Source organism: Homo sapiens, chromosome 14 (genome assembly GCF_000001405.40).
Source record: "Homo sapiens chromosome 14, GRCh38.p14 Primary Assembly".
Taxonomy (NCBI): Eukaryota; Metazoa; Chordata; class Mammalia; order Primates; family Hominidae; genus Homo; species Homo sapiens.
The window spans coordinates 50143327-50169385 of record NC_000014.9 but is presented as its reverse complement, the minus strand read 5'-3'; the positions used below and the strand labels follow the sequence as shown (position 1 = coordinate 50169385).

The window sequence follows — 26059 nt, the reverse complement described above, 5'->3', positions numbered from 1 at the left end:
TGGGATTGCAGGTGTGAGCCACTGTGCCTGGCCTGTTTGTTTGTTTTTTATTTTTATTTTTATTTTTTTTGAGATGGAGTCCCACTCTGTCGCCCAGGCTGGAGTGCAATGGTGCAGGCTCGGCTTACTGCAACCTCCACCTCCCAGGTTTAAACGATTCTCTTGCTTCAGCCTCCTGAGTAGCTGAGATTACAGATGCGTGCTACCATGCCTGGCTAATTTTTTTTAATATTTTTAGTAGAGACGGGGTTTCACCATGTTGGTCAGGCTAGTCTCAAACTCCTGACCTCAAATGATCCGCCTGCCTTGGCCTCCCAAACTGCTGGGATTACAGGCGTGAGCCACTGCACCAGGCCTAACAATGTACTTTGAAATAATTTTAGGTAACTATATATGGTATCCTCTAATTTCTTGTCATATAGTTGTTTTTCCATCTTGTTTTATCATAAATCTGATTTTGGAAAATAAAAAATAATATTTAAACACTAAATCCAAGAATAAATCTCTCTTGGTAGATCACCAAAGCAGATACTTTAAAACAGTGGGTTAAAACTGTTCCAGGATTGTGTTTTCTACTACTAAAGGGATGTAATAACCTTTGAGTCACACTAGTCCAGCCTTCTTTCTTATGATTCTCATCCCAAAGTAGGCTTAACATGAGACAGAATTTATTTTGGATGAGTACTGAGCCAAAACAGTATCACGAAACGGCATTCTATAGAATGGGAAAATATTTGTAAATTATATATCTGATAAAAGATTCTTATCCAGAATACATAAAGAACTCCTACAACTCAACAACAAAAAACAAGCTGACTAAAAAAATGAGCAAAGGATTTAGACATTTCTCTAAGAAGGTATATAGGCGAGGCACAGTGGCTCATGTCTGTAATCCCAGCACTTTGGGAGGCTGAGGTGAAAGGATGGCGTGAACCCAGGAGTTTGAGACCAGCCTGGGCAATATAGTGAGACCTCATCTCTACAAAAATTTTTAAAATTAGCTGAGCGTGGTAATGCATGCCAGTAGTCACAGCTACTTGTGAGACTGAGATGAGAGGATCACTTGAGCCCAGGAATTAGAGGCTGTAATAAACTGAGATCACACCACGGCACTCCAGCCTGGGCAAGAGAGCAAGACCTTATCTCAGAAAATAATCTATGTCTGTCCTTTTTTACTAAGGACATGTTAACTCTCTCATTTTAGAACTGGTTTATTCAAAGGCAAGTAATGTTCTCTTACTCTCCTAACTCCCTGGTCATTCCTTGGAAATTTAGTAATGGAAAGAATAAAAATTATTCTCTCTCAAGAGGAATTAATTTAGTTTAAAGCTTAACAGGAAAACTTAGTAATAACTTCAATGAGGTTCATTGAGGAAGATCAACCAGTATTTCAATATGAAACAATTGAGTTTATAGGTAATATTTTTTTACCTTTTACTTTGAAAAACAGAAAAAAGTTACAGAAATAGTGGTGAGCACCCTTCACCTGGACTCACTTTTTTTTTCTTTTTTTTTTTTGAGACAGAGTCTCACTGTATCGCCCAGGCTGGAGTGCAGTGGTGATCTCGGCTCACTACAACCCCCACCTCCTGGGTTCAAGCAATTCTCCCACATCAGCCTCCCAAGTAGCTGGGATTACAGGTGCACACCACCACGCCATTCTAATTTTTGTATTGTTTGATAGAGACTGGGTTTCATCATGTTGGCCAGGCTGGTCTCAAACTCCTGATTTCAGGTGATCCTCCTGCCTCAGCCTCCCAAAGTGCTGGGATTACAGGTGTGAGTCATTGCGCCTGGCTACCAGTTGTTAACATTATGCAACATTTGCTTGTTATCATTCCTGTTTTTTTTAGACAGAGTCTCACTCTTGTCGCCCAGGCTGGAGTGCAGTGGCCCATTCATGGCTTACTGCAGCCTTGACTTCCCAGGCTCAATCAATCCTCCCATCTCAGCTTCCCGAGTAGCTAGAACTACAAGAGCATGCCACCATACCCAGCTAATTTTTGTTTTTTTATTTTTTGTAGAGAAGGGGTTTTGTCATGTTGCCCAGGCTTGCTTTGTCATTCTTTTTGTGTGTGTGTGAGTATATTCATAACATAAAGAGCTTGCAATCTCTATTGAAAGAAATCTCTCAACTCTTAAAAAAGACCATAAAGAGGATTTTACTACATATTTACTTTTTCAGTACTGACATATGATTCAGGTACATATGAAAGAAAGTTAATAACAGTTAACTTTCTTATGTGTTTTTTTTTAAAGTTAGTGTTTTTTTTAAAAAAGCACGTAAAGAAATATGATCACGGGTTTTTTGTTTGTTTTGGGGTTTTTAGGTTATTTCTTTTTAGAGAGGGAGTCTCGCTATGTTGCCCAAGCTGATCTCAAACTTCTGGCCTCAAGTGATCCTCCTGCCTTGACCTTCCAAAGTGGAGAGATTACAGGCATGAGCCCGTGTGCCCAGCCTAGTCATAGGTTTTAATGGATTTAATTTCCCACCAAATTACCAACTCCACTCTTATGAAAATCTAGAGAGTTTATTACTAATAAAAAAGAATTGATTACATGTTTTATTTCACACCTAGACTGAACTCCTAGTACAGTGAATTAGAGACAAATTCATAATTTATTGAAATTCCCCTTGCTGTGGGCACATATGTCCATAGTAGATGTAGCATTTGGTAGGAGTTTCAAGAAAAGCAGGGTAAATATTTCAGTGAATTCTCATACAGAGTTAAGAAAAAACTTACATGAAATATAAAATCTTAGACAGGATACACTTATAGACAACTAAGGATAATGATGAGTATCAGGTAGCAAGGAATATATTCTTCAGCTAGGTTCATAAGATATTACCCATTAAAGCTAGGCGCGGTGGGTCATGCTTGTAATCCTAGCACTTTAGGAGGCCAAGGAAGGTGGATTGCTGGAGCTCAGGAATTTGAGACCAGCCTGGGCAACATGGCCAAACCCCATCTCTACAAAAAATTCAAAAATTAGCTGGATGTGGTGGCAATGCCTGTAGTCCAAGCTACTCAGGGGTTGGGGGGTTAAGGCAGGAGGATCGCTTGAACCCGGGACATCGAGGATGCAGTGAGCCGAGATCGTGCCACTGCATTCCAGCCTAGTTGACAAAGTGAGACTTTATCTCAAAGAAAAAGAAAAGATATTACCCATTAATAAACAATCACTTTTATTTTTAATTTTAAGCATATGTAGCAAGGGTATCTTTTCTCTTTGACCTCTTTTCCAGAGTACACTCATTTCATTTTATTTCTTAAACTCAGTAGTTATCCAGTTTGTTTTCAACATAGAAAGAATCCCTTTCAACTCAGTGGTCATCAGATTTAGACACAGACCAGTGTTTTGCGTAGCTGTGTCTGGTGTCATGGTAGAGCCACGGGGTATTAGTGTAGCAAAAAAGCAGAGACTTTGGGGTCAGAGCTCCTGGGTTTGGATATAAACTCTCCTATTTATATTGGGCAAATTACTTAATTTCTCTGTGCCTCATTTCCTTCATCTGTAACATATGATTATAGTACCTCGTGTTACAGAGTTGTAATAAAAATTAAATAAGCTAATGCATAAAAGAGCGTGCACAGAGCAGAGCTCAAAAAACATTCATTATTGGTCTAAATACTTAACAAAATCATACAGTAGTCATTTATTCCAGTTACTTCTGACAACCACCTAGTGGATACCTACCACATGCAGGTAAACTGAAAAGGAATAAAACGTGTCCCTAGGCATTAAGATGTTTACAATTTAGTGAAGAAAATAGATGTCAAACAAATAATTACAATATTATAAGAGCCTAATAGAGGTAGTACTATGAGATCAATGAAGCAGGAGTTACTAGCTCTGCTTAGGGAAGGCAGAAAAAAATTCCTATTGATTTTTCCTTTGTTCAGTGGAGTAAAAAAAAATACATAATGGTTTTGGGTATTCGTCCTACTGAGAGAGAGAACAGTGTGTGCGCGGGTGTGTGTGTCCTTATTTATTTGCGGGAGTCATGAAAGACAAATGCTTAGGAACTCTCCAGAATAAAAGAGACAATAGAAACATGACAATTTAGTGCTTCACTGACCAGTTCCTGTTTTGGGGGAAAATATTACCTTAAAGGATGTTATTAAAACAGTTGGCAAAATTGGAATATACACTATAGATTAGATTATGCAGTAGATTACTCGGTGTTAAATTTCCTGAAGTTGATCACTATACTGTGATTCTGTAAAAGAAAATCCTTGTTGTAAGATGAGCTATGAGAAATATTAAAGGAGTAAAGGAGAATGATACTATTTGAGAGTAATTTGTGATACATTTGACTTTTCCTTATATTCCAAAAACTACTGCAAAACCATTCAGCCGTAGTCCCCCTTCCTCTGGAAGGAACTGAGTGGATAGTATCACAACTACTAAAAAAACGATCTGCACACACTGGCACACAGAATGATGAAGCATGTGACAAAATGTTAAAAATTGGTGATTCAGAGTATTACAGGAGTTATTTGTGTTACTTTTACAACTTTTCTATAAATTTGATATTTCAAAAGAAAAAATTTAAGAGGGAAAAGGCATAATCAGAAGGCATCTTCAAGAGGAAGCATTTCAACTGTATCCTAGTGGCTAAATTCACCGGGTGGATAAGGAGGTCAGAGACTGTTGTGTAGAAAGCGAATGGGGGCATGAAAGTACATTACTTGTTTGCACATAGTTCAGTACAGTAATTTTTCTTTTCTTTTTCTTTCTTTTTTTTTTTTGGAGACAGAATCTCGCCTTATCACCCAGGCTGGAGTGCAGTGGTGCTATCTTGGCTTACTGCAATCTCCACCTCCTAGGTTCAAGTGATTCTCATGCCTCAGCCTCCTGAGTAGCTGGGATTACAGGCATGCACCACCACGTCCAGCTAATTTTTTTTTGTATTTTTTATTTTTATTTTCATTTTTTTGCGGGGGACAGAGTCTCACTCTGTCACCCAGACTGGAGTGTAATGGCACAATCTCAGCTCACTGTATTCTCTACCTCCCATGCTTAGGTCATCCTCTCACCTCAGCCTCCCAAATAGCTGGGACTACATGTGCACATCACCACGCCCGGCTAATTTTTGTATTTTTTGTAGAGACAAGGTTTCTCCGTGTGGTCAGGCTGGTCTTGAACTCCTGGGCTCAAGTGATCTGCCCGCCTTGGCCTCCCAGTATGTTGGGATTACAAGTGTGAGCCACCTTGCCTGGCCCAGTAATTTCTGTGTAAGATGTTTGGAACACATTCTTTTAAGTATCTGTAGAATATTAGTTGGATATTCATTAATATGATGTTTATCAAATCTCACTGCTGAAAATTCAAGAAATATTTAGCAAATTATCAGATTATTATGCCAAACAGAGCCGTTGTTTAATATACTTCCATTACCAGGAAATCCCACTCTAAATATCCTCAATTTTGTTCTCCTTTACAGCTTATAATTATTACATGGTTATTTAAAAATGACACGTGGAAGAGTTTGAGCAGCCTTAAGACCAAGTAGACAATGAAAATCATACCTTTTTGGTAGGATATCACTACTGGTGATAATTTAGATATTTGGATAAACAAAAACAAGAATAAAACAGTTCTAATTAAGTGTTTGATGTCATCAACATTCATATTTATTAAAGAAATATTTTAGAGTGGAGCTGAGAAGACTTTCTGTAAGAAATCTTTAAAGCAGCAAAATAAGTGATTTTGCCAGTAACTTTCACCTGTAGAAGTCAGAATAACCAAGCACAGATCTTTTTTCAAACTTTCTATGATATTTTGACTTTGCTTCCATCCTTTCTATTGCTTAGTCTAGAGATTAAGGTATTACTTCTAATAATAGTCATTTACATTATTTATGTTGCTAATCTCTTGATGACAAGACCTCTACATGTGTCTTGAAATAAAATCAAATGGCTCTGTGCTTCATATAGAGACTAATTTCTAAGACATAAATAAAAGGTAATGGACAAAGTTGTCAAACAATAGCCAGTTAGTTCTTTGCTGAGGAAAGGGAACCATTGCTGAATGCTTTTGAGATTGCTCTTGGAATATAAGGAAAATTTTAATTTATCACAAAATCTCTAATAAGTTAAAGATCACAAAATAGATTTAAGTTTTTAAAAATTTTCTGAAGTGATCATAATTCCCCATATCCTTGCATAAATATATATTTATAAATACATAATATATATAATATCTATATGATGTTCCACTTTGAACTCTTCTTTCAAAAGATTAAAACAGTTTGAGGGCAGCCTGGGCAGCATAGTGAGACCCCATCTCTACAGAAAAATTAAAAAAAAAAATTAGCCAAGCATGGTGGCACACATCTGTAGTTCTAGCTACTTGGGAGGCTGAGATGGAAGGATCACTTGAGTCCAGGAGGTTGAGGCAAGGCTGCAGTGAGCCATGATCACCTCACCGTATTCCAGTTTGGGTGACAGAGTGAGACCCTGTCTCAAAAAAAAAAAAAAAAATCAAAACATTGGAGCACAATACAATACAATCTGAATTATTTATTATAAGTAAATTTGCTTTCTTTCTGAGAGTGAAATACAAGAGAACATTTTGGGGCAAATGAAATAGAACCAGAGTTTTAGAGATTAATAAGTCAGTTTCTAAATCTTCTAAAGATTGAGATAGAATTAATTTTCATGGTTTCTTGACATTTCATATTGTAAAAAATAGCAGTGGAATCCTTTGAGAGATGCTGTTTACGGAAAAGTTTATGATAGATTGAAGTGTTAAAAGTTAGTACCCTTGATTATGTTATATAACAAAGATTTGTAAACTTGAAATTGCTAAAACAAAGTAATCATTAGAGAATATGAAATAGTTTATAGTTACTTATTTTCTCTATTCATAGTTGCTAATGAATAAAAGTAAGTTGTAAGCTTCATGCTTTAGGTGTTTTAAACTTTTTAAATATGTTTGGAAAATGTGGCCTGGCACAGTGGCTCACACTTGTAATTTCAACACTTTGGGAGGCAGAGATGGGAGGATAGCTTGAGTCCAGGAGTTTGGGACCAGCCTAGTGAGACCCTATCTCTACAAAAAATAAAAATAAAAAAATTAGCTGGATGTGGTGGCATGCAACTGTGGTCCCAGCTACTCGGGAAGCCTTATGCCCAGGAGATCGAGGCTGCAGTTAGCCCTGCCACTGTATTCCACCCTTGGTGACGGAGTGAGTAAGACCCTGTCTCAAAAAAATAAAAAATAAAAATAAAATGTCCGAATGGTTTTTACAGTTGCTTTTTTTTTTCCTGATTACTATGCTCATGTTAGTTTATATCTGTATTGTGTTTATGTTTATAGAAAGAAGGTTGGGCCAGGACTGGTGGCTCATACCTGTAATCCCAGCACTTTGGGAGGCAGAGGCAGAAGGATAGCTTGAGCAGGTGTTCAAGACCAGCCTGGGAGACATAGCGAGACCCTGTCTCTACAGAAATTTTAAAAATTAGCTGGGTGTGGTGGCATTCGCCTGTGGTCTCAGCTACTTGAGAGGCTGAGAGTGGAGGATCATTAGAACCCAGGAGCTCAAGGCCACAGTGAGTGAGATCCTGTTTCAAAAAAAAAAAAAAAAAAGAAAGAAAAAGGGTTGGTTTGAGAGGGCAGTAGGTATATATAAAATTATAGCTGTTTTTATTAAGTATATATAAAATTAACTTAGAGTTGATAATATTTGTTGCTGCTTTTTCTATTACTAGAAAGTTGGGGGAAGAATCAAACAATGCAGTTTTGATTTTTCTTTCTGTTTTTTCTTAGCAATTGAAAGCATGTAGTGAAGAACAAGAAGACAGAGAATGTTTGAACCAAGCTATTACTGCTCTCATGAATCTCCAAGGTAGCATGGACCGAATTTACAAGCAGTATTCACCTAGACGTCGACCTGGGTAATTCCAAAGTGTTGAAAACGTGAATGCCTCTGCTTACTTCGCTGTCTCTGATGCCTGGTTTTCAAAGAAGTGTGATTTATTGTGATAGTTACATTATTGAAAGTTGTGCTTGTCATACTTTTATATACTTTTATGTTGGTCTTTTACTCTCTTTTTTCCTTTTCCTTTCCTTTTTTTTTTTTTGAGAAGGAGTCTCTCTTGCCCAGGCTGGAGTGCAGTGGTGTAATCTCAGCTCACTGCAACCTGCAGCCTTAGCCTCCTGCGTTCCAATGATTCTCCTGCCTTCGCCTCCCAAGTAACTGGAACTACAGGAGCCCACCACCATGCCCAGCTAATTTTTGTATTTTTAGTAGAGACGGGGTTTTACCGCGTCGGCCAGACTGGTCTCAAACTCCTGACCTCAGCCTCCCAAAGTGCTCGGATTACAGGTGTGAGCCGCTGCGCCCAGCCTTTTTTTCTTTTTTTTAAGAGACAGGGTCTCACTCTGTTGCCCAGGCTGGAGTGCAGTGATGTGATCTCAGCTCACAGCAGCCTCAACCTCCTGGGCTCAAGCAGTCCTCCTGCCTCAACCCTCTGGAGTAGCTGGGACTCGAGTAGCTGGGTGGCACATGCCAACACACCTGCCTAATTTTTGTATTTTTTGTTGAAATAGGGTTTTGCTATGTTGCCCAGGCTGGTCTTGAACTCCTGGGCTCAGGTGATCTGCCTGCTTTGGCCTCCCAGAGTGTTGAGATTGCAGGTCTGAGCCACTGCACCTGGCCAACCCAGCCTAGTCTTAAGATTAGCATTGTTGGCTGGGCACGGTGGCTCACGCCTATAATCCCAGCACTTCGGGAGTCCAAGGTGGGCAGATCGCCTGAGGTCAGGAGTTTGAGACCAGCCTGGCCAACATGGTGAAACCCCATCTCTACTAAAAATACAAAAATTAGCCAGGCGTGGTGGCAGGCACCTGTAATCCCAGCTACTCGGGAGGCTGAGGCAGGAGAATCACTTAAACCTGGGAGGGGGAGGTTGCAGTGAGCCAAGATCGTGCCATTGCATTCCAGCCTGGGGGACAAGAGCTCCAAAAAAAAAAAAAAAAAAAAAAAAAAAAAAAAAAGATTAGCATTGTTATATTATTAGGATAGACTTAATAAATGTTTAAAAATATAATCTATGAAAGAAATTTAGGATTTTTTGTAATTTTAGTTCTTATAGAGCCAGTAGTACTTCTCTTTCATAATAATGAAATTGAGGGCTGTATTATTTAGTGGCAAAGTTAGAACTAAATGCTGTGCGTAAAAGCTACTGTTTGGTTATTTAATATTTTACTCACTTGATTTGAGATGGTTTATGCTTGAAACCATTTGGGTTGCTAGCTGTTGAATAAGCTATATTGTTTGTTTTTTCTAGAGATCCTGTTTGCCCTTTTTATAGTCACCAATTAAGAAGCAAACACCTGGCTATCAAAAAAATGAATGAAATTCAGAAAAATATCGATGGATGGGAAGGCAAAGATATTGGACAGTGTTGTAATGAATTCATTATGGAGGGACCATTGACAAGAATCGGTGCCAAACATGAACGGCATATTTTTCTGTTTGATGGCTTAATGATCAGTTGTAAACCTAATCATGGCCAGACTCGGCTTCCAGGTTACAGTAGTGCAGAATACAGGTTAAAAGAAAAATTTGTCATGAGGAAAATACAAATTTGTGATAAAGAAGATACTTGTGAGCACAAGCATGCATTTGAATTAGTATCCAAAGATGAGAACAGCATAATATTTGCTGCTAAGTCTGCTGAAGAAAAAAACAACTGGATGGCAGCCCTTATTTCTCTTCATTATCGTAGTACTCTAGATCGAATGTTAGATTCAGTATTATTGAAAGAAGAAAATGAGCAACCACTGAGATTACCAAGTCCTGAAGTATATCGTTTTGTAGTAAAAGACTCTGAGGAAAACATTGTTTTTGAAGACAACTTGCAAAGTAGAAGTGGCATCCCCATTATTAAAGGAGGAACTGTAGTGAAATTAATTGAAAGGTTAACATATCATATGTATGCAGGTATGTGAAACTCATTACAACTGCTGACCTAGGGCCTGGGACCCAAAAGCTTTTTAAGGATGCTCAAAAATATTTGAGGCTTGGGGAAAAAATGGATTGCCTCCAAAATATAAAAATACTGCAAAAACAAAAGGAATAAATAAGAGAAGGAATTAAAGGTCTAAAAATGTAATATTGTTAACTTCATTAATTATTGAATAAATATTCATAAAATATGCATATTCATGAATTTTTTTTTTTTGAGACAGAGTCTTGCTCTGTTGCCCAGGCTGGAGTGCAGTGGCGCTATCTCTGCTCACTGCAAGCTCCACCTCCTGGGTTCACGCCATTCTCCTGCCTCAGCCTCCCGAGTAGCTGGGACTATAGGCGCCCGCAACAATGCCCGGCTAATTTTTTTTTTCTTTATTTTTAGTAGAGATGGGGTTTCACCGTGTTAGCCAGGATGGTTTCGATCTCCTGACCTCGTGATCCGCCCACCTCGGCCTCCCAAAGTGCTGAGATTATAGGCGTGAGCCACCTCACCCAGCCATATTCATGAATTTCAAATTTGAAAACAATCCTCGCTTATTAAGGATATACCATAGTATATTCTCTATGTCAGTATTTCTCTATGTATGGCAGGGATACCATGGTATCCTGCCAGTACCATGATTGTTAGGAAAAGCCACAATCTGAGGAGCCAAAGTAAAAAGAAAAAGGGAGGAAGGCCTCCAAATATGGTACTTTGAGTTAATTAAACTGAATACATTAAACATGAAACCTATTTTATGCTCTGCCTTTTCAGATCCCAATTTTGTTCGTACTTTTCTTACCACATATCGTTCATTTTGTAAACCACAGGAATTGCTGAGCTTACTGATTGAACGGTAAGAAAAATATGTATTTCAGTTATATTGACATTTTGTGAAAAATTAACTGTATTTTGTAAAGTGCCTAGTACCTAATAAATACTCAAGTTAATTATTGAACATATTTTATTTGGCATTAAATTGGCAGTATTACTATTCTCTTCAAATGGAGTACTCCCTAAAATCTGTTTATAAACACAGATCTTTTCAGCTCTTAGAAATATTTCAAGTGGTAATCAGAAAGACTAATTTAGAGGATGAAAGCACTATATTTTAATGAATATTGTTCTGTGTAATAAAATGATATTTTCTTAAAAGAGACTTTTCTACTTACCACTATTTTTTTTTTTGGACCGTAGACTACTTTGCCAAATACTTTCCACTTTTAAAACAAACTTGTTATGAAAACTTTCAAAACACATACAAGAGCAGATACAAGAATATAATAAACCCATTTATTCATCAACCACCTTCAGTAATTATCAACTCATTGTTTCATCTGTTTCCCTACAAATTTAAACACCCCACCCCATGATTATTTTGAAGTAGATCCTAGACAACATAATTCATCTATAAATATTTTTCTATGTATCTCTAGAAAATACGGGATCATTTTTAATAATCAGATATCATTATTAAACCTAAAAAATCAGCAATTCCTTTATTATGATTAACTTTTAAAAATTAGTGTTGGGTTGAATTTGTTTTACCTAGTATTATAGTGGCATTTTAAATGTTTTATAGTTTAAAATGTAGAATCTGGACTCCAGAATGATTTTTAGTTTTACGTTTTAAAACTTACTAAAACTTATTATTATACCAAAGCTTATTAACTGTATTATCAAGATATAATTCTAGATCTCTATCACTATGTTGTTTTATCAAACTAAATTTACCAGACTGAGTCAGTGTAATGTGCTATGAGGATCTACTTAGTTGTTTCCATGTCCAGAATAAGGAAAGCACACGTTAGACTTATAGTTTAGCTGTATTTCCTATGTTTGAGCAAGGTTTTTTATCTTTATCTTATCCACTTAGGTAAATTATTTAAATATTGTTAAATATTCGGTTTTGGCCCTCTCTTTGAATTTGTACTCATTTAAATAAATTTATTAGCCTACTTTCATTTTAATAATATAAATATTAAAGACATTGTTAGATAAGCAATTTCTGTCATGTTCTTTAAATTCCTTATGAATTCTTTCCTTGGCTCTTTTCCCTGGACCTTTTCTGTATTATCAGTGCTAAAAGACAAAACTTTAGTTTTTATAAAAGTAAGAATACAAAACGTCAGTTTTGTATAGCCAAAGGACAGTTTTTTGTAGTATATCATACCTCAAGGGAAGTTTAACAGTAATCCACTTTTCGTGGAAGTGGTAGGAAAGAAGGTTGCTTGCTGTTTTCCTCCTTGTATTTTCATTATGTATGAACGGATTTTTCTCCTTTTGCTTTTCTTCTTAGGTTTGAAATTCCAGAGCCAGAACCTACTGACGCAGACAAATTGGCAATAGAGAAAGGCGAGCAGCCAATCAGTGCAGACCTTAAAAGATTTCGCAAGGAATATGTCCAACCAGTACAACTTAGGTTTGGCTTGAATATTTTTTATATATATATATATACACATATATATACACACACACACACATTTTATGTGTCAGTTTTCAATATATAGTTAACACAAAAGCTCTCAGCTTTTAATTCAAATATAGGGAATATTTTTAACTTCACAGCAGTTAAGTTAAACTAAAAGAGTTCTTTCTCAGTGAAGCTATTCTTAAATACCCTGAAGAAATTCAAATATTTAAATATCCTATGTTTGCATCACATATCTCTGGCATGTGATATGTTATGCTTACGTATCAGGATACCTATTTTTTATTGTAAGTAAAAATTATAAAATTTCATGTGAGCTTTCCTGCTGTCAACCTTTTTTCACACTTTTTTCCTTCATTTCCCTTTGCGATCATACAGTAATCCTGGCTTTTTTTACAATTTATAATATTTGTGGAAGTTCTAGCCCTTTTCCCACTTATCTCTCACAAAATATATAGACATTTGTTAGTTTAATTGCAATAATTTCTAAAAATGTGTTTGATTGTAGAAGCTTCCAGTTAATAAATACTACTGTGTGCCGGGGATTACCCTAAATGCTTTATCTTTTTTATCTCATTCTTACAACATGATTACTATTCCTACTTTATATATAAGGAAATTGAAACCTAGCAAGGTGAAGTAATTTGAGCTAAGTTATGTAAAGGGAGTGGCAGGACAAGATTCAGACTCATGTCTGACTTTCTTTGCGTGTGTGTGTGTGTGTGTGTGTGTACGTACCACTAAGCATTGAAAATTGGAAGCGCCTTCTCTTAGCCCTCTTTACTGTCCAAGTAACCAAAGTATTATCTTCCTCCTTCCATTGGAAACCAAGTTATCTTATTAATTATATGTAATTTAAATTTTTTTTCTCTCTAAATTTCAAGTTTCCTTGATTACTGTTGACCAATAAATTGTAATTTTGGAACTGAGTATATTAGTTATTTATTTCCCAGGATAATTGCCACAAACAAATGCAGTTTTAGAAGAATGATAGTGCTCCCAGCTATATGTCTTTCACTAAAACTTTTAACGTCATTCTTTGTATAAGAAGATGAGATTATTTATGTATCAGCAATAAATAAGTAATTCTTTTCTACTAGCTGTGATGCATTTGTACTTATCTACAATCACATTAAATCCCTTGATATGACACATACATTTATGAGGTTGCTATTGGGTGGGGTAGGGGGTGGGAGTATAATCTTCGTTTCTCAGTCATATAAGCTCTTTATGTATTTCTAAGCATTTGCTGTGTTCTCAGTCCTGTACTTATAACTATGCTAAGTACAAAAATAACATAGACTGTCATGATATTGTGGCTTTCTTGGGGACTTTACTGGGGGAAAAAGACACATGAAACAGTTATATATTGTTCTACTTGGAGTGCTTAAGTGACTTAGAAAAATACATCCCTATACAATTTCAGGAATAGCAAAGATTAGGCCAGAGTAATTAGGGAAGGCATCTTGGAGAAGGTAAAATCTGAGACTGCCCCTAAAGGATGTATAGGCTTTAGATAGGTAGAAAGGTGACTGTAGGTATTCAGGGTCATGAGAAATAGTATGAACAAAGACAAGAAGGCAGAAATGAGAATGGTGTGCTGAGGACACAGATAAGGACATTGACCTGAGAGGAATGTAGGCATTGTATTGCAAGTAGTAGATGAGATTACCTGTATGGAATTGGATGGAGTGGAAAACTGTGAAATCCAAGCCAAGTTATTAAACCTGTTTATATAAATATTGAAAGATTTCTAGTAAAATGGGTGGTAGTAATTTTTCTAACATTTTATTATGAAAAATTTTAACATACAGCAAAACTGAGAATTTTACAATGAACACCCATAAACCCACCACCTAGATATGTATTCATCTATTCATATCTATTCATTTATGTGTTCATTTATCATTCATCTATCAGTTCATTTTTTTGTATGAATTTTGAAGTACACTCCTTAAATACTTCAACTTGTATGTCATTAACAGTTCAGTGTTTGTTTTTCTTTTGTTCTAAAATGTGCATATAATTAAATACATTTTTTTCTTGCTGCCACTGAAGACAGAAGATACACACATCTTAAGTGTACTTTTGTTGAGTTTTAACAAATACATGTATCTCCATAATCCAAACGCCTTTCAAGATATCAAATGTTACTACACCCCAGAAAGTTCCCTTATGTTCCTTCTCATCAGTTTTTGTTCCCACTGCCCAAAGGCAGTGTTCCAATTTCTCCCTCCATAGATTAGTTTTACCTGTTTTAGAGTCTTAATAAATGCATTCTTAAAAACTCAATTTTGTGTCTTCTTTCACTCAACATGCTTTTGAATTTGTATCAATGGCTTATTTTATTGCGAGGTTGTGTTTTATTATATGAATATACCAGTTTATTCATTTTTCCCATTGAAAGATACATGGGCTTTTTCTCGTTTTTTATTATTATGAATAAAGCCGCTATGAACTTTATCTTACCTGTCTTACTGTGAATATTTTTCACTTTTCTTGGGTAAACAACTCAGAGTGGAGTGGCTGGGTCAGAAGGTATGTGTATGTTTAGTTTTGAAAGAAACTGCCAAAACTTCCAAAACATTCTCACCAACAATGTTCAAGTTGCTTCATATTCTCACCAGTGTTTAGTAATGTCAGTCTTTGTGCCTTAGCCATACTGCTGGATGTAGTGGTATTTCATTCATACTTATTTTGTGGAGAATCTGTTCAAATCCTCTAATTTTTGTTGAGATACTTGTCTCTTTATTACTGAGTTGTAGGAGTAAATTGGGTAGGACTGAATGCCAGTCCTTTGTCAGATAAACATTTTGCAAATATTTTCTTTCCATGGCTTGCCTACTAGTTTCCTTCCTTCCCTTTCCTTTTCCCTTCTTCCTCTTCCATTTCCCTCCTCTTCCCTCTCCCCTTGTCTTTCCTTTCCTTTCCATTTGCATAGTTGATTAAATCTCTCTTTGCAAGGTTATAGGTAATCATTTTTGTGATACTGTAAAACAAAACAGTTCTATTTTTGTCTTTTGAAATGAAATAAGAGACTGTAGTATATGTGTAGATTACATAGAAATTTGATGATAGGCTGGGTGCAGTGGCTCACGCCTATAATCCCAGCACTTTGGGAGGCTGAGGTGGGCGGATCACCTGAGATCAGGAGTTCGAGACCAGCCTGGCCAACATGGTAAAACGTCGTCTCTACTAAAAGTACAAAAATTAGCCCAGCATGGTGGCGGGCGTCTATAATCCCAGCTACTTGGGAGGCTGAAGTAGGAGAGTCACTTGAACCTGGGAGTTGGAGGTTGTAGTGAGCTGAGATCGCACCATTGCACTCCAGCCTGGGCAACAAGAGCAAAATTCCATCTCAAAAAAAAGAAAGAAATTTGATGATAGCACTTGCATTTAGAACCAGATACAGTACATCTTAGTTGGTTTTCCATTTTAAGTGAAAAAGTACCAAAATTTAAATCTTAAAAATGCTTTTTATGAACTTAAAATAGCTTTTGTAATATAGAGCATAAGTTTTCTACATATGAATAAAGGGTACTTTTCCTTAACATAAATGGGAAGCACAGAAACCACTATTTTTATGCTTATAAATATTTTAAAAGTATACATTTTATTAATAAATAATACACCGTTTGGAGACCTACTCTCCTCTTGTCATTGAAGCATTTAAAGTATTAATTAAATACAGATTAGAGAGTCTTTGAGTATTATGTTGACCCTTGTATGTAAAGCTATTATCGTGGCATTAGAGAAGGAAGAAGTGTAATTGAACACTTATGTTTCACTAAAATGTGTTTCTTTCCATTTTATCAGGATCTTAAATGTATTTCGGCATTGGGTTGAACATCATTTTTATGACTTTGAAAGAGACTTGGAATTGCTTGAAAGACTAGAATCCTTCATTTCAAGTGTAAGAGGTATATTATATAAAGGTTTGATTGAATCTTATATTGAACATGAGTTTATGTTCAAATTTGTGTGACTTTAAGAAACTAAAACATTTCTCTCTCTTTTTTTTTTTTGAAACAGAGCTTTGCTTTGTTGTCCAGGCTGGAGTGCAGTGGTGCCATCTCAGCTCACTGCAACCTCCGCCTCCCAGGTTCAAGTGATTCTTCTGCCTCAGCCTCCCAAGTAGCTGGGACTACAGGCACATGACATCACGCCTGGCTAATTTTTGTATTTTTAGTAGAGATGGTATTTCACCACATTCACCACAAGACCAGCCTGGTGTCTTGAACTCCTGACCTCAGATGATCCACCTGCCTCAGCTTCCCAAAGTGCTGGGATTACAGGCATGAGCCACCATGCCTGGCCAGCATTTTTCATTTTTAAAAAGCTGAAATAACATTTGGAATGTTTTTTATAGACAGCAAGAAACTCACATATGTTTAGACCAATCATCTGAGGTCTCAGAACTTTGCCTTTTCAAGTTTTTGAGGAGAATATTTCTTTTAAAGAAGTCGAAAGTTCTTTTTAATAAATTTAAGCTATTTAATTTTATCTCATTGCAAGGTTGCCATTTCTTCAACTGAATAAAAATATGTGTAATTTTATGTTTTCTTTCTTTAATCTTATTCTTTTAATGATTAACAGCTTTCTTATAATATTTACATCTTCTGGAAATGTTTTTGGTATATTTCTGAAATCTGAAAGAGAGGAGTTTTCTATTTTAAGTTTCAGAATCATAGCCCAAGAAATGAAACCCTAGGCCATGAACATTTAAACAAATGTGTCATCAAATGTATATTATTGAATCAAGAACATTTATGTTTTATCTGACATTATAGGGCATTACAAATACTATAACAAGTGTAACTTATTTCGTGTTCTACTTGTTCTTTAAGGGGAATATTATTTAAAGTTAAGAATGTTATTCCTTTGTTTCTACTTTGAGATGTTTATGATACATTTTTATGTGTGCCTTGAAATTGTCATAATACTACATTTTCAAGTTGTATTCTAGGCCAGTGCAATGGCTCACACCTAGAATATCCCAGCACTTTGGGAGGCAGAGGCGGGCTGATTGCTTGAGCCCAGAAGTTTGAGACCAGTCTGGGCAAAATGGCAAAACCCAGTCTCTACAAAAAATATGAAAATTAGCCAAGCATGGTGGCATGTGCCTGTAGTCCCAGCTACTCGGGAGGCTGAGGTGAAGCGATCACTTTTAAGCCCAGAGCTCGAGGCTGCAGTGACCCGAAATTGCAACACTGCACACAAGCCTGGGCAGAGTGAGACCCTGTCTCAAAATAAACAAAAAACAAAAATTTATATTCTAAATGAGAATACTGGATTAGACACAATCTAAGAAGCTTCTAAAATACACACACACATTAGAATAAATTAAGTAAATGGTTATGTTAATGTCCAAAGTTCTTTTCTATACTAGTTATACTTCAGAATAACCAAATAGTTCATGAGGAAAAGTTTATTTTTGTGGAAGTATTTCAGCTAGTAAGTGAAGAAGGAATGGTAGAATATCACATTTCTCAGGTCCTAGTAAAATAATAAACCTAGGGAATTATCATGACTGGATGGGTACTATCACAAAAAGTTAACTAGACATTATATGCCTCCTGTTAGAAGTATTCTTGGCAAGTATTTGTGTCATAAAATTAATCCTGAATCAGACCAAGTCACTATATCTCTGCTTTACAGAAAATATAGAGGACAGAAAAACATGGCAAATGACAATTTCTTCCACAAAGTGCAAGCAAAAATATGCAATAAAGCAGTAACCTGTAGATTAAAGGAGACTTGAGACACATTGACTCAGTGCAATATGTGCAATCTTGTTCAGATCCCTTTTCAAACTAAATATAAGAAAATATGGCCAGGCACAGTGGCTCATGCCTGTAATCCCAACACTTTGGGAGGCCAAGGCAGGCAGATCACTTGAGCCCAGGAGTTCAAGACCAGCTTGGGCAACATGGATAAACCCTATTTCTACTAAAAATACAAAAATTAGGCCAGGCGCGGTGGCTCACGCCTGTAATCCCAGCACTTTGAGAGGCCAAGGCAGGCAGATCACGAGGTCAGGAGTTCGAGACCAGCCTGGCCAACATGGTGAAACCCTGTCTGTACTAAAAATACAACAAAATTAGCCAAGCATGGTAGTGTGCACCTATAATCCTAGCTACTCAGGAGGCTGAGGCAGGAGAATCGCTTGAACCCGGGAGGTGGAGGTTGCAGTGAGCCGAGATCACGCCATTATTCTCCAGCCTGGGTGACAAAGTGGGACTCCATTTCAAAAAAAATACAAAAATTAGCCAGGCGTGGTGATATGTGCAGTCCCAGCTACTTGGGAGGCTGAGGTGGGAGGATCACTTGAGCCCGCAACATGGAAGTTGCAATAAGTTGAGATTGCGCCACTGCACTCCAACCTGGGCCACAGAGCAAGACCCTGTCTCAAAAAAAAAAAAAAAGGAAAATAATCAGAGAGAGAAATGTGAACAGTGACAAAATACTTCAAGATAACAATGTATTAAGAAGTTGTCAGTTTTATGTGTGATAATGGTGTTGTGGTTATTACTTTAAAGAGTGTTTTAAAGGTGCTTAAATATGAATGAAATACGATGTCTCGGATTTGTTTCAGAATAACCTAGGAAGTGACGGGATGGCATGAGTAGGGTTAGAGAAAATAAAAATTGGCCATGAGTTGGTAACTGTTGAGGCTGGGTGAAAGTTAAGGATTAAATGAAGATTTGCAGTCATGTCTGTCAAGTAAAAGACATTTTTCTTTATGTGTTCTTTTTCCAGGGAAAGCTATGAAAAAATGGGTAGAGTCAATTGCTAAGATCATCAGGAGGAAGAAGCAAGCTCAGGCAAACGGAGTAAGCCATAATATTACCTTTGAAAGTCCACCTCCACCAATTGAATGGCATATCAGCAAACCAGGACAGTTTGAAACATTTGATCTCATGACACTTCATCCAATAGAAATTGCACGTCAGCTGACACTTTTGGAGTCTGATCTTTACAGGTAGACAATTAATGTTAATGTCTTGCTTTATTTTTAAGAATCTTGAACATTACCTATTTTCAAAACATTTTGCACATTATTCATGAGTGCTTAAAAATACCTCATCTACTCTCATGGGCTTAGAGGAAAGGTCATAGCACAGTTTTTAACTAGTCTGCCCTGCAAGTAAAAGTCTTATGTCTAGACTGGGGACTAGCAATCCATTACAAGAGGAATGGCAGGAAGATTTTCAAGTCCACCACCCCTCTTCAACTCCTAATACCTTCTCACCTTGGTTTAGTTTGAGGTCAGTCAGTCAAGTCAGTTAGTATGGATGCTAGGCCCTTAGCAGCTAAGTGAATAGAATATTGTGTGAGATGGGTTTTCTTTTCTCATTTACAGCTCAGGCTGTTGCGAAGGGTACAGGCCTTGCATGTAACAGCTCTCTGTCGAAAAATGTCACTATCATTATCATTCCATCAAAAACTTTTTCTACACCAACCTCTCTGTTTTCCCCTCCTCCCAATCCTTCCCAGCCACTAATACCTGCAGTTCTACTCTCTACTTCCATGAGTTCATTTTTTTTTTAGTTTTCATATATGAGTGGGAACATGTTATATTTTTCTTTCTGTGTCTGATTTATTTTGCTTAACATAAGGTCCTCCGGGCTCATCCATGTTGCCTTGAACGACAGGCTTTCATTCTTTTTTTATGGCCGAATAGTGTTCCACTGTGTATATATACCACATTTTCTTTATTCATTAATCTGTTGATTCCATATCATAGCTATTGTGAGTAGTATAGAAGCCTCAATTTAAAATATAAATGTGCTTGGCTGGGTATGATGGCTCATGCCTGTAATCCCAGCACTTAGGAGGCCAAGGTGGGCAGATCGCTTGAGACCAGGAGTTCAAGACCAGCCTGAGCAACATGGCAAACTCCGTCATACAAAAACTACAAAAAATAGCCAGGCATGGTGGCTCGTGCCTGTAGTGCCCCTGTAGTCCCAGTTGCCCAGGAGGCTGAGGTGGGAAGGTCACTTAAGGTCGAGGCTGCAGTGAGCCAAGATTGTGCCACTGCACTCCAGCTTGAGTGACAGAGTGAGACCCTATCTCTAAAATAAAAATATTTTCATGGAGTTATCCTGATTAGCAGCCAATTTTTAAATAAAGATTACACAGGGAAAAGCAAGAATATATAAAATTTAGTGCTAATAGGTAATATAGTAAGGTACCTTTACTACATTATGTTTACTTTATGTTCTTTAGAATTTGCCTAGTTTGCACTGGCCATGCCATTCAGAACCAGACTTTTAGCGCACCCACCAGAAGTTGTCAACATCTGACTCAAAATGTTATGTTATATTTTAAGTAATTTAGAATCCAGGTAGCTTTGTTTATGTTGTGGGATTTGTGATACGTAGAAATGAAGGGACTTGTTACTTGAGGTAAAAAAAGCAAATAGTACTGCATCATGTTTTTTCTCACAATGTAATTGTTTTACATGAATGGACATCAGAAAAAAAGCACTTCACTTCATGTGGACCTACTTTCAGGACATAGAAAAATACCTAATACTGACTTCATTTGTAAACTAAATTTTTTTTTTTTTTTTTTTTTGAGATGGTGTCTTGCTCTGTCACCCAGGCTGGAGTGCAGTTGTGCAATCTCGGCTCACTGCAACCTGTGCCTCCCAAGTTCAAGTGATTCTCATGCCTCAACCTCCCGAGTAGCTGGGATTACAGGTGTGTGCCACCATGCCCGGCTTTTTTATATTTTTAGTAGAGATGGGGTTTCACCATGTTGGCCACAGTGGTCACGAACTCCTTACCTCCAGTGATCCACCCACCTCAGCCTCCCAAAGTGCTGGGATTACAGGCATGAGCCACTGCACCCAGCTTTGTAAACTAAATTTCTGGTGAAATAATAGAGCCACTTTAAGAAAACATTTCAGAAACTGTTAGCAAGTACTTATTTATACACAAATCTACTGATTAAAAAATATTTTTTTAATGAATAACCAAGTCTGTAGGCCATTGATGGCAATGCCACCAGTCAATTAAAAAGAAAAAAAAGAGATAGGGTCTCACTGTGTTGCCCAGGCTGGCCTTGAACTCCTGGCCTCAGGCAGTCCTCCTGCCTTGGCCTCCCAGGTGCTGGGATTACAGGTGTGAGCCACTGTACTTGGCCAATTTTTAAATTGTGTATTCTGACTCACTGTATACAATGTTTTAATCTGCTCTTCTGTCTGAATTTTAATTAAATACTCAGGCATTCAAAAAATATAGGAAATAATATAATGAATATTCATGAACAACAAAAACATTTTAGATAAAATTGAAATCCTTTGTGTAATTCTCCCAAATCTTATTGCTCTCTTTCCCCTAAGAAAGCACTACCACCCTGAATTTGATGTTTACTATTTCTCTTTATATTTTTAAAATTTATAAACATACACGGAGATTCATAAACAACGTATAGCATTGTTGTACACTTTTTTTTTTTTTTTTTTTTTTTAGAAACAGGGTCTCACTCTGTTGCCCAGGCTGGAGTGCAGTGGCACAATCATAGCTCACTGTAGCCTTGAACTCCTGGGCTCAAGCAATCCTCCTGCCTCAGCCTCTCGAGTAGCTAGAACTACAGGCACGCACCACCATACCTGGCTAATTTTTTTAAAAAAATTTCATAGAGATGAGGTCTTGCTATGTTGCCCAGGATGGTCTTGATCTTGGCCTCAAGTTGTCCTCCCACCTCAACCTCCCAAAACGCCAGGATTACAGGTGTGAGCTACAGTGCCCAACTGGTTTTTTGTTGTTGTTGTTGTTTGTTTGTTTAAGATGGGGTCTCACTCTGTCACCCAGGCTGGGATGCAGTGGCATGATCATAGCTCATTGCAGCCCCAGACTCTAGGCTCAAGCAGTCTTCCCACCTCAGTCTCTCAGTAGCAGGAACTGCAGGGAGGAACTACTGTGCCTGTTTTTTTTTTTGTTTTATTTTTTTGAGATAGGATCTCATTATGATTGCCCAGGATAGTCTCAAACCCTTTGCCTCAATCAATCCTTCCACTTCATCCTCCCAAGTAGCTGGGATTATAGGTGCGCACCACTGCACCTCAGCTTGTTTTGCACTTTTTTTAAACTGCATATACTTATGTATCATTCTGCAACATGCTTTTTACTTAAATCATTTTTGGCATTTGTTCAAGTCAATGAATACAGTTCTAGTTAGCTTATTTTAGATGCTGTGTAGTGTTCCGTTATATTTATACTCCACAATTTATCCAGTCTCTGGATGATGAGCCTCTATTCACTCTTGCAAATAATGCTTCACTGAATATTCTTGTAAACGTTTTCTTATAACTTTGTTTTTTGTTTGTTTGTTTTGAGACAGAGTCTCACTCTGTTGCCCAGGCTGGAGTGCAGTGGCATGATCTCAGCTCACTGCAACCCTCTGCTTCCTGGGTTCAAGCGATTCTCCTGCCTCAGCCTCCCAAGTAGCTGGGACTACAGGCACGCACTACTACGCCCGGCTAATTTCTTTGTATTTTTAGTAGAGATGGGGTTTCGCCTTGTTGGCCAGGCTGTTCTTAAACTCCTGACCTCAAGTGATCTGCCCGCCTCAGCCTCCCAAAGTGCTGGGATTACAGGCATGAGCTGCTGCACCTGGCTCTTATAAATTTGTGTAAGAGTTTATCTAGGGTATATGCATACTTAAGAGTCAAATTGCTGAGTCATCCGATATGTATCTCTTCAGTACTATGAGATCTTGCCAAATTGTTTTACAAAATGGTTGTATCAATTTTTACTTCCCTATTGGTGTTCCTGTTTTATTATATTTTTATCCATTTGGAATTATCAGACTTTTTTTTCGTTTCTTTTTTTTTTTTTTTTTTTTTGGAGACAGAGCTTTGCTCTTGTTGCCCAGGCTGGAGTGCAGTGGTGCGATCTCGGCTCACCACAACCTCCATCTCCCGGGTTCAAGCGATTCTCCTGCCTCAGCCTCCCAAGTAGCTGGGATTACAGGCAGGTGCCACCATGCCCGGCTAATTTTGTATTTTAGTAGAGACGGGGTTTTTCCATGATGGTCAGGCTGGTCTCGAACTCCTGACCTCAGGTGATCCATCTGCCTCGGCCTCCCAAAGCGCTGGGATTACAGGCATGAGCCACCACGCCTGGCCTTGAGTTATCAGACTTTTGTTCATCTAATGAGTAAAATGGGATTTCATTGTAGTTTTATGTTATTTTCCCTGAGTAAGGGATAAAGTGTGTTTTCGTGTTTGTAGCTATTTGGGTCTATTCCTCTCTGAATTACTTGTTCATATATGTGTTCATCTGTCTTTTGGGTTAATTGTCTTTTTCTTATTAAGTTTTAGAAGATCTTTAAGTAATACAAATCCTTTATAGGTTAAGTTGCACTGATTTTCAATTCCATAGGAAAGTTCAACCGTCTGAACTTGTAGGGAGTGTGTGGACCAAAGAAGATAAAGAAATAAATTCTCCAAATTTATTAAAAATGATTCGCCATACCACAAATCTCACCCTCTGGTTTGAAAAGTAAGTTTTAATTTACTCTTACTACCTCCTAATAGCCATAATATTAAGTCATATTTAAGCTAAAATTCTGGCTACTCATAATTATCTTGTTTTCTAAGTGAGGTGAAGAAACTTTTCTAAGCCATGAATTTTTGTTGTTGTTAGATGCATTGTGGAAGCAGAAAATTTTGAAGAACGGGTGGCAGTACTAAGTAGAATTATAGAAATTCTGCAAGTTTTTCAAGATTTGAATAATTTCAATGGCGTATTGGAGATAGTCAGTGCAGTAAATTCAGTGTCAGTATACAGACTAGACCATACCTTTGAGGTAAGTTTTAGGCTTAACTTTTTCATTTTTCTCGGGGATGATGAAATTAGCATAAAAGAAATTTCATCTATCATCTGTCTTTTTAATTAAATTCTTTGTAAATTCATCCTTGCTTCATAAATATGATATAAATATATTAGAAAATATGTTGATATATTAGTTAATATATGAATATGATATATAATATGTGAATCCTAGGCTTATATTAGAAAATATATCAATATTCAATAAACAATATGAGACTTGCACTGCCGTGTAATGTACTTAACCTAAATGTAATGAAGTTCCAAGTGGATTTATTCAATAACACATTGATTGATAGTCTCAAATGACAAAGGATTTTAAATATAAAAATACAAGTAATGTCTTAATTACCTTTAGGTAGTCAACAATAGTATAACACGGGAAGAACTATTTCAAAAACTTAAATTTGGCCAGGCGTGGTGGCTCACGCCTGTAATCCCAGCACTTTAGGAGGCTGAGGCGGGTCGATCACCTGAGCTCAGGAGTTCGAAACCAACCTGGACAACGCGGCGAAACCCCATCTCTACTAAAAATACAAAAATTAGCTGGGCATGGTGGCGCACGCCTGTTATCCCAGCTACTTCGGAGGCTGAGACAGGAGAATTGCTTGAACTCAGGAGGCAGCATTTGCAGTGAGCTGAGATCACACCACTGCACTCCAGGCTGGGCGACACAGTGAGACTCAGTCTCAAAAAATTAAAAAATATATATATTTTTTAAATTATAAAATATGTGTTTAACATGTACTATTGAAAATTCAGGAGATATAGAAAATAGGAAGATATTTTGCATATATATTTTAATAACAAAATTGAGATTACATTGTGCATAGATTTTTATGGCCCTTTTCTCATAAACAGTTTTCTATTTTTTTATTAGCTTATCTTCAAAAACAAGATTTTAATGGCATCAAGGTTTTCTATCATGGATAAATCATAATTTATTCCAACAGTAGATTGTGGGACAATTAAGTTATTTCTGATTTTTTTCTGTGATAATTTATCATGGAATATTCATATGTAGAAGTCTTTTTAAGAGCTTGATTATTTCCCTAGAAATAATCTAGGGGTGGAAATCCTGGGTCTGAGTATTTATATACTTTAAGACTTTAAATACTTTTGCCAAGGTGTTTCGTAGCAGGATACGATAAATGCCCCTTGGTATTATGTATTATATTAAAAGCTTTTGGCCAGGTGTGGGGGCTCTCACCTGTAATCCCAACACTTTGGGAGGCAGAGACAGGAGGATCACTTGAGCCCAGGAGTTTGAGACCAGCCTGGGCAACATAGGGAGACCACATCTCTACAAAAAAAAAAAAAAAATAGCCAGGCATGGTGTTGCATGCCTCTGGCGGGGGCAGAAATCGCACTGCATTTTTAAATTGTATGTTAAAAAATAACTAGTGAGGCTGGGCTCAGTGGCTCACCTGTAATCCTAGCACTTTGGGAGGCCGAGGCGGGTGGATCACCTGAGGTCAGGAGTTCGATACCAGCCTGGCTAACATGATGAAACCCCATCTCTACTAAAAGTACAAAAATTAGTCAGGCATGGTGGTATGTGCTGGTTTGCAATCCCAGCTACTCAGGAGGCTGAGGCAGGGGTATCGCTTGAACCTGCCTGGTGGAGGTTGCAGTGAGCCAAGATTGCCCCACTGCACTCTAGCCTGGGCAACAGAGTGAAACTTGTTCTCAAAATAAATAATAACTAGTGAGGTTGAATATGTATTTATTGGGTACTTTATGATTTATGTATTCATTGCCTCTCTCATTTTTGGGGGAGGGTGTTTTCATTTTGTTGATTTTTTTTTTTTTTTTTTCCT

At 37.3% G+C, this 26059-nt stretch overlaps 1 protein-coding gene across 11 annotated transcripts in view; it reads left to right on the top strand.

Moving 5' to 3' along the window:
* SOS2 (SOS Ras/Rho guanine nucleotide exchange factor 2) overlaps positions 1-26059 on the top strand; it is a 114753-nt gene that overhangs the window by 62497 nt on the left and 26197 nt on the right. For all 11 annotated transcript variants that reach the window (XM_047431723.1, NM_001411020.1, NM_006939.4 and 8 more), the window contains 8 exons: positions 7777-7904; positions 9300-9955; positions 10740-10821; positions 12265-12387; positions 16213-16316; positions 19156-19378; positions 23790-23909; positions 24054-24216. In XM_047431723.1, coding sequence (XP_047287679.1) covers positions 7777-7904; positions 9300-9955; positions 10740-10821; positions 12265-12387; positions 16213-16316; positions 19156-19378; positions 23790-23909; positions 24054-24216 — 1599 coding nt within the window. The remainder of the gene's footprint in view (positions 1-7776; positions 7905-9299; positions 9956-10739; positions 10822-12264; positions 12388-16212; positions 16317-19155; positions 19379-23789; positions 23910-24053; positions 24217-26059) is intronic.